We start from the raw sequence: 16,822 nt of genomic DNA on the forward strand, positions 1-16,822 counted from the left end.
AGGAGGGCATCATAGCAGAGGTGACCCTGGAGATGCTGAACCCTGAAGCATGCCAAAGTTTTTAAGTGGATCCGGTATGGATGGGGCACCCAGGCATTGTGCAACACAAAAGTGAGGGAAAGAACAAAACCAAAGAGCATGTCAAAGTACTGGAGAGATGTCTTTAATTCTATTTGTAGAATTAGAAATGTCATGATATTATTTAGCTTTCTGAAGATGAGGTCTCTTACAGGGTACATGTCTATTGCTCAATTTCTGCACATAGAGCTACAAAAGCAATGGATGACTATACTCAGAGACAATGCCATTCTGTCTCATTATCTGACCTAAATAGCTTCTCCTCCACCATCTTCATCTACCACCTCTGACACTTCCACAGGTGTCAGCCTTGCCAACACTGCCATTGGAAGTGTTTCTGCACCTCTCTTCTGTGCTTCCATAGCACTTGTATGAATGCACCTCTCGTTACATCTAACCACTGAATTAGAATTGCCCCTTACTAACTGGTCCTCACTTGCACCCCTCTTACGCTATAAGCTCCTTCAAGGCAGAGTATTGTATTGTATTGTATTGTATTGTATTGTATTGTATTGTATTGTATTGTATTGACCACGGTGTCTCCACTGCCTAAAACTAAACAGGAACTCAGAAAATGACTATTGAATAAATTAAACAAACAAATGAGTCTTGGGAGAATTACACAAAGTTAAAGGGAGAGAAAAAGGCATCCAGTGATCTTTAAAGTTCTCTCCAGCTCTAAGAATCTACAATTCTAACAGAGCCAGTGGAAGTGAAAAAAGCTAATCAGAAGTCCACAGCAGGGAACAGGGAATACACTAGTTATTTCTCTGGAAAGGCCACAGCACATCAGACTTCATGCACTAGTCCCAGATAAGAGGGAACCTGCACACTAGAAGTGTTAGTACAGCGTAGGGGATAAGCCCTAAAATCAGGTGGCCTGAGTTCAAGACTCAGTTCTGCCACTATGAGTTGTATGACCTAGGGCAAGTTAGCTAACCTTATGCCTCGGTTTTCTCATCTGTCATATAAGAACAATAACAGTGTCTGAGAGGCTGAGGTGGGAGGATCACTTGAGGCCAGGAGTTCAAGACCAGCCTGGCCAACATAACAAGACCTTGTCTCTACAGAAAATTAATTTTTTTTTTATTTAGCTGTGCAAGGTAGCTTGCCCCTGTAGTCCCAGCTACTTGGGTGGCTGAGGTGGGAGGATCACTTGAGCCCAAGAGTTCAAGGCTGCAGTGAACTATGATTGTGCCACTGTACTCCAGCCTGGGTGACAGAGTAAGACCCTGTCTGTAAAAAAATAAAAATGAAAATAAAATTTAAAACAGGAATAATATAATAACAGTGTCTACCTCAAAATGTTGTGGTATTGTATTAAATGGGTTAACATATATAAACTACTTAGAACAATTCCTAGCACACTGCATGTCCTAAAAACATTAGCTGTTATTACTTGACTTCCCTCCATAACGTTACCAAAGAAAACTCAGTATAATAGGAATCTGCATTGGAATCTTCAACACCTCTTTCAAAACCAGAGAAAGAAGAATGCAGAATGTCTATTTTGACTGGAACCCTAGCTCCACTGTACACTTGGCAATCCCTCTCCTGTTGGGAAGTCCCTGGGCAGCCTCATAACTCAGAAGCTATGCCAATTTATAGAGATGTAGACTCCCTCCTTCAGTTTTCTGAAAGAGCAAAGCAAAATAGAACAAAACAAAGTGATCAACAGAGACTGCCTTCTCCAGAATTCCACACTACAGAGGAAGATGTTTCATGACCAATTAAGTAATGGGCTTCATGTAGCTCACTACCAAAAGATGACACAGAATCAAGACAAAATGCTTTTAAAATATAATAATCTCAAGTTGCTGATCATTCAACTGTATCTTCTAAAATACCTCTAGTTTTCAAGAATCACTTTTAGAAAGCCAATGCAGCTTTGGCTTTCTCTCATTCAAGTTTCTCAAAAGCTGTGGATCTTTCTATCAAAAATCCCTCTCCTCAAATGACAGGTGCATTTTACTCTTTACTGTGTCCTTTTGGTAGGAATTGTGTTTCAACTGGGCTGCATGGCAACCTTTCAGATACAAAATGAATGCATGCTTTTAACCACTGACCTCGGCACACCCAACTGTAGGATATCCATCACATTTTCCTCACAATCATAGAGCATCTTTTGTGCTCTGCATCAGAGAGGCAGTCGGATACCACCCCCAAAGGATTTCCCGATATACTTTCTACACATCAAAGTGAAGGTTTTTGAAACTGACTGTAATCCATGTCTTTGCAAACAAAAGTGCTGCACATTAGTGATCCTTTTGCAATGGCCATAGAAATCAAAAGGCCTTTTTTCCCCCCTCTCACTATAATACTGACATTTGGAAAGAAAAGAGTAGATGATAAAAAGAAACCTTTGGTAGAAATGACAAAAATGTGAAGTAAAATAAGGCCATAAACCTCAGGGTCCACAAAGGCCAACATAAATTGGAAACAGGGAGACTAGAGATGAGCCTGAAAAAGTGTCCAAAAAAACGCCATATATGGAGCCCAGACTTAGACTGACTTAAGATGTCAGTTGGCCCAGGTCTGGGCAAAACACATATTTCTGTATGGGATTTACCCTTCAGCGTTGCTGCTGACGTAATCTAGATATTGCTGTTTACAACTGCTTTTAGAACAGGCAGCAGGCTCCTCTGTTAACATTTTGTTATTACTTTATTGCCTCTAGAAGATAACTAATAATAAAAGCTTGAAAGGAGACGACTTCAGAGGGATCTCCACCTATATGTTACAGATGGGCCAGCTTCCCAAAGTTGGTCTGAGTATTATTTACTTGGCTCTAGAAACAATTCCCAACAGAAACTGTAACCTAAAATTGAAAAGAAAATGGAACATTAAAGGAAAAGTACATAAAGAGGAAATAAATCTCCCATAATCTCACTGACATAACACAATCATATTCACACATTTACTTCCAAGCCCTTTAATATTTATATCTTTTTACAATAACATTCATGAGTATACAGTCTACTTAGTATTTTGCAATTTGAATTAAGCATTCATTAACATAAGCCAATGTTTCTAAAGTCTTAATAATGATTACACAAATGCTTACTTAACACGATATACTTTCCTTGGAGGATGATTCAATTATTTACAACATGCCTATGAGAAAACACTTTCTGAGTATCATCTTCAGGTTCCAGGAACAGCAAATCTCCCTCTTGTGTTCCGGGCACCCCATTCCATATTTCCTTGATTTTCAGACCCTTGGGAGCAGAGGCTCTGAGTGGTTTCCTTTGACTTTTATAGGGGTCCTACAGAACAGTGGAAATACAGAAATTCCGAGCAGGGATGAAGTCTCCAAGGACTCAGAGTGGAGGGTGGGAGTTCCAGTGGAGATGCTGACAGATGCTGGGGTCTCCTAACTCTGGTCTATTCCCTAAACATCTCCTTTTGTGTTTTCCGTGGGCTCAAGAATTGTCCTTGTCCACCTCTGGTTCCAAGGCACCACCTGTGTCTTCTGAATAGGACCTCCTTCTTCCCTGGGCTCTGCTTAAAGCTGGAGATAAACAGTTAATATCTCTGTGCTGTGCTCCTCCAGCACTTCATTCTGTAGTGGGCCTCTGGGCACCCAAAGGGCTGATGTAAGATGTATACACACTCCAGATGGGCATGTCAACACCACAGATGAGGACACTGGGCGATGAGAGTCACCAGGGTGAAAGAAGGGGCCTTGGCAAAAGGCAGGGTGAAGGGAAGAGATGAGAGGAGGGAGCCTTAGCAGATGTCTCTTTGAATGACTCGCTCATTCACTAACTGCTTACGAGCACCAACTAAGTACCTGTGATACATCAATGAACAAACAGACAAAGTCCCTGCCTAAGTGGATCTTAAGTGAACAGACAATAAGCAATAGACATACTAAGTAAGCAGTTAGATAGCATATGAGGAAGTGTCAAATACTATGGGGGAAAGCAGGATGTGTAGGGGGAGCAAGAAGGTTGAAAGGACTGTTCATGAATTCACATGTGTCGGTCAAAGCAGCTATCATTGAGAAAGTGAGAAACTTTGAAAAAGGGAGGGAGTTAACTATGTGGCTATGGAGGGGTGGTGTGCTCTAGGAAGGAGGATCAGTCAGTGCAAAGTCTGGGTAGGAGCACAACTGACTGAGGAGGCCAATGGGGTTGGGGCAGTGAGTGAGGCAGAGAAGAGTAGCAAGAGATGAAGTTAGAGAGCATCAATATGAAAGGCATCATGAAGACTTGGATGTGGCCAGGTTTTAAGCAAAGAGTGACATGTTGAAACTTAGTTTTAAAAAAAAATCACCCTGGCCATTGTGTTGAGAATAAATGAGAGGCGCTAAAGGGAAAGAGGAGACCAGCCAGGAGGCTGCTGCAGGCATTAAGCAGAGAGATGCTGGAGGCTTCAATCAGTGGTGACCCATGGTGAACAGGGGCTGGATTCCAGATTTAGTCTGAAGACAGGGTAACAGGATTTTCTGGTGGATTCCATAAGGGGTCTGAAAGAAAGAGAGTGGTCAAGGATAGGACCAAGATCTAAGCATCTAGAGGAGAAGACTGAAGACTGAAGAGGACTGGAAATTGGGAGATTAATTCAGAGGTTCTTGCATAATCTAGATATGAGATGGCAAAGGAGTGAAAAAGGCTGATGGTAGTGGGGATATAGAGAAACAGATAAATTTTTAAAGGCTGGGGTAAAATTGACAGAGTGAAACAATGAAAGCTTCATATCAACATTTTGTGGTAGTATCTTCATTTTCCAATTTCCCTTTATTTAATAATGTAGAATTTTTAGCTGAATACATGGGTGCCCAGCCAAAGATTACATTTTCCATGTTCTCTTGCAGCTAAATGTAGCATATGACCAACTTCTGGCCAACTGAATGTAAGTAGAAGTGATATTTATAACTTCCAAGTTGTGCCCTTAAAAGGGATTTCCCCTTCCCAATTGGCTTCTGCGTGGAATTCACAGCAGAGGTAAGACCTGTCATCCTGGACTTTGAAATGTAAAATGCATACTGGATGGCAGAGAAACAAAGTCAAACCACACATCAACTCATGATTGCTTGCCCAGACTTGTTCCTAACAGAGAAATATACTTCTATCTTATTTAAGCCTCTGTATCTGGGGTTCACATTGTTGTCATTGCCTAACCTGTAGCAACTAATAAACATTCTCTGAGCTGTTCTAAAAACAAAGCCCCAATACCAATACTTAGTAATCCTGTGAAGCTAGGACAGTATTCAACAGAGAAAAGTTTGATTTCAACCTGCCTCTGCTAGTTTGTTCCAACATATCTGAACAGTATTTGAGCTTCAATGCAACTGAGTCTTTGTACAAGCTCAAATCTAGAGTAAATTGCCACTTATGGAGCTAATATTTACACAATAATCCACTGTTTCTCTCAACTAGGAGGCACAATTTTACATCATACCTGAAGCAGAGATCTCGAGAAGATATATTATGTAATCTGCCTTCCAGCATCACCAATAAACTTCTAATTATCCATACAACACACTTAACATCTCCTGATTGATGAGCCAAATCCATAGTAACAACCTCCCCTCATCCAAAGAAGACAAGATCAAGTTCTAAGCTAGCAGAGAACAAAATCATATACTTTATTCAAAGGCAAATCCTAGCTGTGTGGAAGTCTAATAAATCATCATTGAATACAGAAGGGATTCAGCTGAAATCTGTGCAGTCTCAGATGTACAGCCAACACTGCAGCACTGTCCTTCAAGCCTTTGCAGGTTTACTGCTCTAAATGTATCAAGTCCACCTGGGAAGGCCATCACCCGTGGTGCCTTGCAGTCTCTGAGGCCCCACTACGTGAAATGTCCTGGTCCATAATCACAGTGACTTGACTAAGCACACTTTCCATTCATTCTTTCCCTGACTATCAAGCTCAAGAGATGAAAAAACTACAGAGAAGCAGGTGAAGGATCAGTGGAATTTCGTGGCAAAAAAAATCACTGCTGGCACACACGGATCAAAGGGGGAAGATTGGTGTGTTCTGGGAAATAATGCACTCCTTCAGTTAAATGCCCTGAAGTCTGGGAAGATGAGAGTCAAGCAGGTGCATTTCCTTCAAATGGGCCATATGTAGGCATTTATTTAGGCAGCAAGAGCATTGGGCTGTGAAGTAGTGACATTCAGATTAATGAAGTTGAGAGGAAAGGGGCCATGACATGATTGAAATCATTTAAAGAACAAATATTTATTGAGCATTTCAAGTCAGACAGAGCTAATGCCATGTGACAAGACAGAGTGTCTGTCCCCATGGTCTAGTGTGGAAGGCAAACCAACCAGCCATTGTAATAGTGTGCTCAGTGCCAGAAGGCAACAGTGTGATAAGACAAATAGGAGGGGACTCAGATCTAGTTTGGCAAGTGGGGAATAGGACGGCTCTTCCTAAAAGACACTATAGGTAAATGGAGGTCAGAAATATGTTGATGGCCCATCAACATGTTGCTACAGTTATAGAATGGGGATGGCATCTTCCTATGAAGGTAACCCTGTGAAGTGGGGCTGATAGTTGCCTATTTAATGTGAGTAAAAGAGGGGTCATATAACCAAAGATTTACTCTGTTGCCAAATCCGTATGGACAATAGAAGAGGTCATTACATAAATTTTAGAAGAAAAGCAGAATATTAGTTTTAAAAAGAAAAATAGAAGCTCATGCGTAGTTAATTTGCATCATTTAGAAAATCTAGACTCCTGGAGGGAGCTTGGAATCATCTAGTATCAATTCTGTCACCATCAGGAATATGCCTAAATCAGTCTATGCAGTTGTGAATTGCCATCATTATTCAGTAGACTCAAATACAGCAGGCAGGCTGCCTCTGTCCACTTCTATGACCAATGATAATCTCTGTGGAGTTGCTTGGCTTCTTCCTTGGCTTCTCTTTTCTTTGGAAAATGAAAATGTTGGATGAGAACAATTATTTTCAAAAACTTTTTGTTACTACAATCCACAGTAAAAATAGTCATTTTACATGCTGACCTGATAAAATATCCATCTTTATTAACTTCAATGCATTTGCTATTTTTCTATTTCATTCTAATACATTTCTTTAAAAAAATTGCTGGTAGATCCACTAAGCTAATTTCATGTCTCATAGTTTGTAACTCATAGTCTGAACAATTCCAGACTAGATCATCTCTGAGGGGCCTTCCTACCCCAATTATGGAAATCATCCTCATTATCACCTAATATTTACCACATGGGGGCTGTCTCCTATGATCCTCAAAGCAGTAGTGTAACACGGGCAGAGGAGCTTATGAGATTCATCACAGATCACATGGCCAGAGCATGATGGAGCTGGTACCAGAACCCAGTGAATGCACAATAGCAGCAATGCTTGCCCTGGTCGGCACCTCTTCTCTCAGATAATTCCACCTCCTGACCACCCTCTGTCATACAGCTGCGACTTAAATGCCACTCCTAATCTGTCGAAATGAGCTGCAAATCTAGTGAACACATTCCAAGAATTTAATGTTAAGCTAGATCTTTCAGGCACTACCCCATGCCAAACACAGGTGGACGAATCTCATTACCTGGCCTGGAAGGGCTCTCCTTCTAACAGAAAAAAATCCACCCACAGACATGAACACTAAGCACAGCATTGAAGACTCTTTCAAAACTGCACTTCCATTTTGCTTCCTCAGTAATAACCTCATTGTTCTATTTAACCTCAGCACTATCTTCCCACCTGGCTGATGCAAAGTACCAAGGCTCAAGCCTTCCATGGAGACTCTCTGAGCACTGGAGGACAACAGAACAGCCAGAGGGTGGCACTCCAGTGGGAAGAGAAGGGCACTCACAGTAACTCCCAGGAAGCACTCCCTCTGTTGCTCCCCTTCTGTCCCCAAGGGTGAGTGAATAGGGGATGCCAACAGGCTGTCAGCCTCCTTCTAGATACCCTTCTTATCCCAGACAAGCATCAGCTGACTTCAGGAATATATAAAAGATGTTGTTTAACATCATGGAAAGGTCAGGTCCTTAGATTTATGGATAACACCTGTATTAGTCTGGTTCTTACACGGCTGTGAAGAAATACCCAAGACTGGGTAATTGATAAGGAAAAGAGGTTTGATTGACTCACAGTTCCACATGGCTGGAAAGGTCTCAAGAAACTTACAATCATGGCGAAGGCACCTCCTCAGAGGGTGGCAGGAGAGAGAATGAGCGCTAGCAGGGGAAATGTGTCAGGCACTTATAAAACCATCAGGTCTCGTGAGAACTCATTCATTATCACGAGAACAGCATGCAGGGGAACCACCCCCGTGATTCAATTACCTCCCACAGGGTTCCTTCCACAACACGTGGGGATTATGGGGATTATAATTCAAGATGAGATTTGTATGGGGACACAGCCAAACCATATCAACAACTTATTTATAGTACTTGGGAGAAAAAAATTTACATCAGAGGCAAACGACAGGGGCAAGAATGATTTCAGGGGACCAAAACCTAGGTTTTAAAAAAAGACTTAAAGATCTTCCTTCATTTTCTTAACTACTTAACAAAGCAATAAATGCTGGTTGGTAACATGCCAGTAATTCTAAGGCAATTATTTTCACAATGATTGGAGCCTGTAGTGGGAATTTATTGTTTTGCTTTCTACATCCATTCCTCCTCCTTCTGATGACACTATCCATATTTACTGTGAGGATCTATATTCCCTTTATTCCAAGCCAGATGGTGTGGGTGGCCCTACCTTAAACCCCATTTTAACTCCAGGGGTGGGCTCTGACCGGCTTTAATTACTGGTGATTGGTTTTGGTTTGGGAATGGGAAGAGAGAATCTAATCAGAGTCAATAAGGCAGAAGGATTCGCTTTCTGAGGCGTCAGAGAAAGGGTATTTTCTCTTCCCCAAGAGCTACCAGAATAAAAGTATCTTTCTATTCCTGGATGATGTGGTGTGAGAACAGGAGATGGAGGACTGTGGCAATAACGAAGTGAGAGACTTCACTGAATAGAGCTTGAGGATGAAACTGACCTTGCAGAGAGGCAGAGTAGAGAGCCAGAGAGAATCTGCATCTTGAGCAATGCCATCTGGGCTTGTGGTTCAAGCCGTGCCTGCAACCCTTCCTCTAGATTCTTTAGATAAAGGAGCCTTTGTGTGCTTAAGCCAGTTTGTATTTTCTAACGCTTACTAGCAAAGTAATTCAAGGTGATAACAAACACCTTGAACACTTTGGAAAGTGGTAGCGTCCAAACAATTTAAGGTTTCTTTTGGAAAGAGCAGGACTCCAATGTGATAGAGGTTGATTTTGATTTTTTTTTCCTTAGCCGCTTCTATTAGTTCTGTAGGAAACAGTCACAATACTTCACATTATATAGTTGTTCCTACTTCTCAAAAACATCTTTTCCATACAGACTGCCTCACCTGAATTTCACAATCCAGAGTCAGAGCAATTATGAAAAAAAAATTTATTTTGCAGTAATTGTTATTCAGCACTTTATACAGTTTAAAATATGATTTCAAGTTCAGTGATTCATTTTATTGTCACAATAACCAAATGAGATAGAAATGGTGGGTCTATCATAATATCTATTTTAGGCTGGAGAAAGTTGGGCCTCAGATAAGTTAAATGAGATATGTGAGTTAATTTGAGGAGGTAGGGGGAGACAGGACTAAATCTGTCCTTGCTTCTATTTCTCTCACCCAATCCTCTGAACCAAAGATACTAAACTCTATTCCCAAAAACAAATACAAAAGAGCTAGCGGTGGGTTGAACTCGACCAAAGCATTGGAGATCTGGATTCCAGTGGCAGAGCCAGAACTAACTAGCTGGTGACCTTGGGCAAGTTTCCTTTGTCTTGTTTTTTGTAAAAGAAGAGGTTTAAACTAGGATCTCTAATGCTCCTGCAAGCTCGAAAATTTCTATAAGTCTAGACTTTTCCATCCTTGCTCTCAAATTAATCTTTTTCTCAGAATAATAATCATAACCTTATTTATTCTCCCACTGGGTACCAGGCACTGTTCTAACGTACCCCCATTTTCTACCCGCATTTTCTCTTTAGATCTCACGACATTCCTAAGACAATTATATCTCTTTTACAGATAAGGAAACCTAGGCTCATGTAGGTTAAATGAACTGCCCAAGACCAATAAAATTAGTAAGCATCAAGGGGAGAGCTGACCGCAGGTCAGACTGACCGCGAGGATCTAAACCTGGTCTGTGTTGTTACTGCAGAAGAAATTAGGCTCCCTGCATTACTGGTCGCCTCTCTCCACGCATAAAAGGGAGAGGAGGGACAAGAAAGCCAAACCAAGTCACAACAAGCCCCTGCAAGGCAAAAACAGAAAAACCGCTGGAAGGGCGCCCGGGAGGATCCTTTCTGGGTCCAGGGGGCGGGGCGCAATTTTCCGGCAGCCACGGGATCGCAACGCGGGCCGTCCTGCCCTCTGGCCCATTACCTTGTTGAGATGAGGGTTCCTGGTGACATCGTATCCGCGCTTCTTCAGGGGCACAGGGCGCGCCGGGCCAGGCTTGGAGTGGCAGCCTTGGGCGGGCGCGGTGGGTGTCCAGCGCGGGAGGGCGCCGCAGGCCCGGCCCGGCCAGGGAGCCAGCCGCGTGCCTGTCCCCAGCGCGGCACCCATGGTCCTTGGCAGACCTGGCACGGGAGAGAAAGCAAGGTCAGGGCCTCCTTCCAGCCAGCCAGGACCCACGCGCGCTGCGGGGCACCGGGCCTGATCCGGGGACGCGCCCTCTGGGAGAGGGCAGGTGCTCCCAAAGGGTTAAATGTTCCAGCCCCCGCCACTCCTCGGCTGCCACCTGCTCGGCTCCGCGCGGGGCGCCAGGCCTAGCCAAGAGCCAGGCAAAGCGAAACCAAGCCCTGGAAGCAGATCCGGTGCGGGTGACAGCCGGCGCCACCCCTGCCCCCATCCCTGTGAAAAAGAGGCGACTGCGCGGCGAGGGGTCCCCGTACCCCTAATCCCGCGTGGTGGCTTGCCTCGGTCCTCTCCTTCCCTGGCCCACCTGCGCTGCTCGGGGAGCTGAGGTCTACGCGGTCCCGCTGCGGAGCAGGCGGGGTGAGGAGCTGCGGTCTGTGAGTCCTCTCCCGCCAATGGGTGGACCGCGCTGGCGGCCGCGAGCTCGCGGAGCTGGTGAGTTCCTCAAAGAGCGGTCCCACAACCTTTGTTCTCAGTGCCTGGCTTCCCCTGAGGACGCGCGTGGGGCGCCTCAGCACTGCGTGCACGTGGTTTTCCCCAGTGACAAGAAGCAGCTCAGAATGCCCGCCTGAGACTCTCCATCTTGGCAAGACTAAATGCACAGAGGGGGATTTGCGTTTGGGGGTCAGCATATCCTCGCACTCTCCCAACATTCGGGGAAGGGCGTGCCTTCAGGATTTGGAGTAGAAATCCTCAGGCATTCGGTGCTCAGTGTTGCCTTGTGCTGTCCAATATAATAGCCATTCGCCACGTGTGGCTATATAAACGTAAATAAATTAGTCTATATAGAATAAAATTTAACATCCAGTTCTGCAGTCACGCTAGCCACATTTCCAGTTCAAGAGCCACTTGTATGCAGATACAGAACATTTCTGTTTTTGCGGATACTTCTATTAAGCATCATTGACATAGGAGCCACAGTTACTAAGAGGACTTCTGAGGACCCCATGGAGTTTGCCATGGGTTATTGGGGCCAGACAGGGATCTTGGGGTCCATCTAGCCCCAAACTTAATTTTATACTTTCTCCACACAGTAGTCAGGAGATTCCTTTTAAAGCAAACACTTTGTTGTGTGTGGAATAAAATCCAAACTTTCAGGGCCTACAAGATTTCCCATAAACTGGCTCTTGCCAGCCTCTTCAGACTTATCCTACTCTACTCTTTCCTTCTCACTGATCTCTGGCCATACTTGATCCTTCCTGTGTCTTCACCCCACTTGGTTCCCTCCCACTGCAGGGCCTTTGCACTTGCTATTGCCTCTCCTTGGAAGGCTCATACTCCAGCCTTGCAAACCACTACTTCATTCCCACCTCTCAGTTCTCCACTAAGTTGTCAACTCGAAGGCCTTTCCTCTATCCCATTCAATGTCAGCCTGCACTAGGAACTATAGAGTGAAGGGGTTTTTCTCTTTAGAGAACTTAACACAGTCAGTAGCGCGCTTGTTTTTCTGATTGTTTACTGACTATCTCCTGTCTAGAATGTAAGCTTCATGAAGAGAGGCTCTTTGCCTGTGAACCTGTGTGTCCTCACTGCCTAGCTCACTGCCTGGTATGTAGTTGCACAATAAATAGTTGTTAGGTGAAGGGAAGTGGCAGCCACTTTCATAAGGATCGTGAACCCTTAGACTTACTGACAGACAGTTGGCACGGTCCTCTGCTGACACCCCTTCAAAGCTCCCGGTGCCAGCATTAGCCCCGTTGTAAGTACCAAGCAGACATCATGGCCCATAATGTGCTAAGGGGTGCTCCTGCCTGAGTTCAGGATTCCCTCATCCCTTCAGGAATAATCGTCTCCTCCTGCAGTCTCTCTCCTCCCTGTGTAATATCTAATTTTCAACTTGAATGATCTACGTAAAATAGTTATTTCCAAAACAGAATTACAATTACCTGGTAGGAAATAAGGATGGGGCAAAAATACAGCTTTCCAGGCCCCATCCATGAAGATTCTCATCCAGTAGGGTTTACATCCCTGAAGTCAGGTTTACTCTTGGACTGCATATTTACATAAGCTTATAAATGATCTTTTTTTCTGCCTTAAACCAGTTTGTGTCAGATGTGTGATTGTGTGCAACCAATAGTATTAACTAAATCCTTTCAACACTATTTTTATATTGGCACTTCTTCCCACCAGTCAACATCTTTGGGGGGCAGAGATCATGTGTGTTTCCATCTTTGGTATCTAGTGCATGCAAATATTTGGAAATTGATTGTTGAACCAGTTTGCCCTTGCTGAATACAATGACCTTTCCCTCCCCTGGAGGATATCTAATAGGTAACTTTAGTCATTTGAAACCAGGATGTAAACAACAAAGGTTTCCAAACAAGCGAACATAATTTTTATAGCATCAATTCACTAAAGCTTGTACAGTTTACATATAAAAGTCTCTTACATGTCCTCACCTGTGGCCTATATTCTCTTAACCCAGGCATAATTCTACAATGTTGTTTTGTGTGTGTGTTTGTTCTTTGGTGACAGGAAAGAAAAGGTTAAAGGCAGGTCCACCAGGAGCAGTGACAGAAGGCAGTAGCAAGAGGAGGTGGTGGCTTCTCAGTTCCATACAGTTGTCCAGGGACCCAGGTTTTCTCTTTTGCTGCCAGGCTCTTCTGTAGCTGTTGCCCGCCTCTACACAGCGCTAACACCATGTTAGCATCCCAGCCGTGGAAAGCGGGAACAAGGAAACAGAGGGAAAGCAAATCGATTTGTTTTTTTAATTGGGACAGGGTCTCACTGTGTTGTTTAGGCTGTTCTTGAACTCCTGGGCTCAAGCAATCCTCCTGCCTCGGCCTCCCAAAGTGCTGGGATTACAGGCGTGAACCTCTATGCCCAGCCAAAGCAAATCTGTTCTGTGGAAGTGACATGAAAGTTGTATATATTACTTCTACTCACATTCCATTGGTAAAAACTAAGTCACACATTCATATCAAGCTACAGGGAGGGCTGGAAAATATTGTTTGTAGTAGGAAAGGCATGTATGTGCTCTACTGAAGTTCAGTGGGGAGTCTATTACTAAAAGGAAGAAGGGGAGAATGGTTCCTAGGGACCACTAACTAGAAGTCTAAATATAATACTCATTTTCTGTTGAAGTGCTTAGCCCGTAGTGGGTGATCAGAAACTGTGAGCTGTTTTTATTGGCACGTGTGGTTTCCATTTCTGCTTTTGTGGCAACTTCCTTACTTTTAGAGCTGAATATAGGATTTCAGAGACCAGGTTCAGAACCATGGAAACATTACAGATCTTCTTCCAACTCCATACAACTCTGACTTCCTTAGCCAGCCAGGAAGTTGGCTTGTGATCTGGTGATCTGGTCCAGCACTATATAGAACTAATGGGTCTCCATAATTTGTCTTGGCCCCTCTCCTTTCATATCCCATTTACTGACTTCTGCCATCATTGTAATGATGCTTCTTGGGATGGCAGAGAAGGAATCTCATTCCATCTCCTCCAGCCAACAGTTCCATATTCCAGGTATAGTTAATACTTTTGCTTTTCCATTTTGATTACAGAGATTTAAATATCTACCTGTTTCCCTACTAGATTGTGAATTCCTTGATGACTACAACCACCATTTATAATTCTTTGCATCTCTATACCTGGGAAAGTGCCTGGCACTTAGAATTAACTCAGTTTCTTGAATTAAATATAATTGTGGTTCAAATTTGTGCATAACCTTCCAAGGAGTGGAATTAATTGAAACTAAATTTGGTACATTGTTAAAAGGGCACAAAATGGCTTCAAGTCAGATTTTTAACTCAGTCAGCTATCTTAAAACAAGATCTCTTATCTTCTGAAAGCAGATGTTAATGACCTTACACATGGATTTTAAAAAGGAGGTGAATATAAAATTCATTATTTTTCAGTTAATCCCATTGCTTCACAAACTTATTCGTAATATTCTGCACAACATTTAATGTTCATGATTGCCCCAAAGAACTCTTTAAATTCATATTGCTGCTAGTAATATTTGTAAGCACTTCAACTCTATCATTATTATTATTATTTGCAGCAAAGGAGAATTATGGGGATCATTTATTTCTTCCTGGTCTGCATACTCATCACTCTGCTTATGTGCCCTGAACTCTGGGCCTTTGCTCAGCAGTTTCCTCTGCTTCCAGCATCTGCCAGTTGAAGCCCTGTCTGTCCTTTACAATTCTACTCAAACACTACCTCCTCCAATGAGCCTTCCGAGAGTGCCAACCAGCAGCTTACCCTCCCTCCCTGATGCCCACAAACTCTGCTATTTTTATCTCTCCTATTCACTTTTATTGCACTTTTGAAAATCTCTCCTATTGTGCAAAGAGGCTCATAAAAGTGAACACCTTTAAATCCAGATAGTCTGGACTCTCTACCAGTGAGTGACTTTGAGCATTTTATGTGACCTCTTTAAGCCTCACCATCCTCATGGATAAAACTGAGATCCTAACATCACTTCTCACGTTGTTTTTTGCTGGATTTATTTATTTATTTAAAATGCATTATAGCATACACTTACCACCTACGTGCCAGGTGCTGTTCTAAGCACTTTATAAATGCTAAGTCATTTAGCCTCACGAGCTATCATGCCATTTTGCTCAGCTCCAGATCTAGCTTTTTCTACTCTGGCTTATGGCTGAAGCTTGGGCCCTATAAACCCATTCTTTGGCAGCAGGGTTCTTGTTCATTTCTGCCAATAGGGGGCACTAAAGGGAGACTGAGGGCTGGAGAGGGGAAATGTTCTCCTTTCTGTTTGCTCGCTGTTGGTTCCCTGCAGCATCCGCCCAGCAACAGCCATTTACCCGGCATCAGCCATTGGGCCCAGCCTCCAGCCCCTTTTCACAGCCTAGAATCAGGCTTCCCAGGCTTCCGCAGACTTAGCAGCAAGTCTTTTTCACCTCAGGTCCAGCTTCTGATGGTGCAACCACTTCCCTTTGTTCCTCCAACCCTGGAGATGAAACCTGCATGCTCCGGTTACCATCTGTGATTGCCTCAGCACTCCTTTTCTTCTCATCCAGCCCTGCAGCACCTGGGAAACCAGTTCTTTATATTAACTTCCTGTTGTTGAGATATACTTTGTGTGGTTCTGTCTCCTCAACTGGACCCATCTGTTATAGATTGGTACCATTATTATCCTCATTTTACACATAAACAAAATCCAGGAAAATTAAATAACTCACCTGAAGTGGGCTGGGATTTAAACCCAGGCTCAGGTGCCATGGTGGTCCCAGGACACTAAGGGCTCGTGTTTGGTCAGGCCTGCTGCATGGCCAGCACTCAATGAACAGTGGTTCTCTGATCTCCAATCGTCATCCTCATCACCACTCTTCAACCTTTCATCCTACCCAACACCTAGGACAGGGTGTGTGCAATCAATGCCTACTGAATTGAGTCTGATTACCTAAATATGGGAGGACTGTGGCATAGAAGGGGCTTGAGTTAAAAAAGGGCATGGGGGAGCCAATGGGGCCACGAAGCTTCTGCATCCTGTCCTTCTGACTCTTCCTTTGGAGTTGTTTCCAAGGTAACTGATTCTCCCTCTCTTCTTGACCTGCTCCCTACCTCCCTGCCACGCTTTCCCTGTCCTACACTTTGGCTTGTTGACTTCTGTTTTTCTATTAAGTAGGAATAAACAGTTCTCTGACATTCTGAGAATATCAAAAGCAAAAATAAAGGGGCCATTTTGTTGGGTAGCAGAAAACACGTTTCTTATTTCTCTGTTGCATTACATCCTATTTCTCTATTCTTCTGTTGCATTGTCATAACTTTTAATACCCAATTTTAACAAGAAAACATCTTTTAAATAACCACATTCCTAAGAGAGGTGGTCCACGGAGTTCAGTTACCCCTGCAGAGTGTTATCACAAAATCACCTTGAAATGTTTGTTTATAAACTATTTCAAGTAGTGGTTGCACCAAACATAATTGCTTCCAGAGAGAAGGACACAATAGACTGCATTACTCCTCAGAACCCCTGGCTGATTCTCATTTAGTCTGAAGCTAACTCTTAAGGCCCACTTATGTTCCTAGCCTGGCCAGCTCTTATTTTCATGGCTGCTTTAGTCACAATTTACAATCCATTTTAGACATGCCCCCACTTCTACCACGTAGTAGG

General features: G+C 43.4%; 1 protein-coding gene across 21 annotated transcripts in view, besides 1 other annotated feature; it reads right to left on the reverse strand.

Moving 5' to 3' along the window:
* ME3 (malic enzyme 3) overlaps positions 1-11,337 on the reverse strand; it is a 237,687-nt gene extending 226,350 nt beyond the window's left edge. For 12 of the 21 annotated variants that reach the window (NR_172888.1, XR_007062445.1, XR_007062441.1 and 9 more), the window contains exons 1-2: positions 11,045-11,337; positions 10,483-10,679 (exon numbers count right to left, since the gene is read on the reverse strand). Coding sequence is in view for 8 of the 21 variants with exons in the window: in NM_001395868.1 (NP_001382797.1) it covers positions 10,483-10,665 (183 nt within the window). In the remaining 13 variants the exon portion in view is untranslated. Of the gene's footprint in view, positions 1-10,482; positions 10,897-10,994 lie in introns of those variants that run through there. The other 9 variants (NR_172889.1, NR_147831.2, NM_001014811.2 and 6 more) reach the window with 4 other exon arrangements.
* Positions 13,708-14,002: a silencer, noted in NCBI's record as "tiled region #6909; K562 Repressive non-DNase unmatched - State 22:ReprW". NCBI's record gives its function as "represses a minimal TATA promoter and a strong SV40 promoter by Sharpr-MPRA in K562 cells {active_cell/tissue: K562}" and the evidence as "EXISTENCE:reporter gene assay evidence [ECO:0000049][PMID:27701403]".

Source organism: Homo sapiens, chromosome 11, assembly GCF_000001405.40.
Source record: "Homo sapiens chromosome 11, GRCh38.p14 Primary Assembly".
In the NCBI taxonomy this organism is placed as follows: Eukaryota; Metazoa; Chordata; class Mammalia; order Primates; family Hominidae; genus Homo; species Homo sapiens.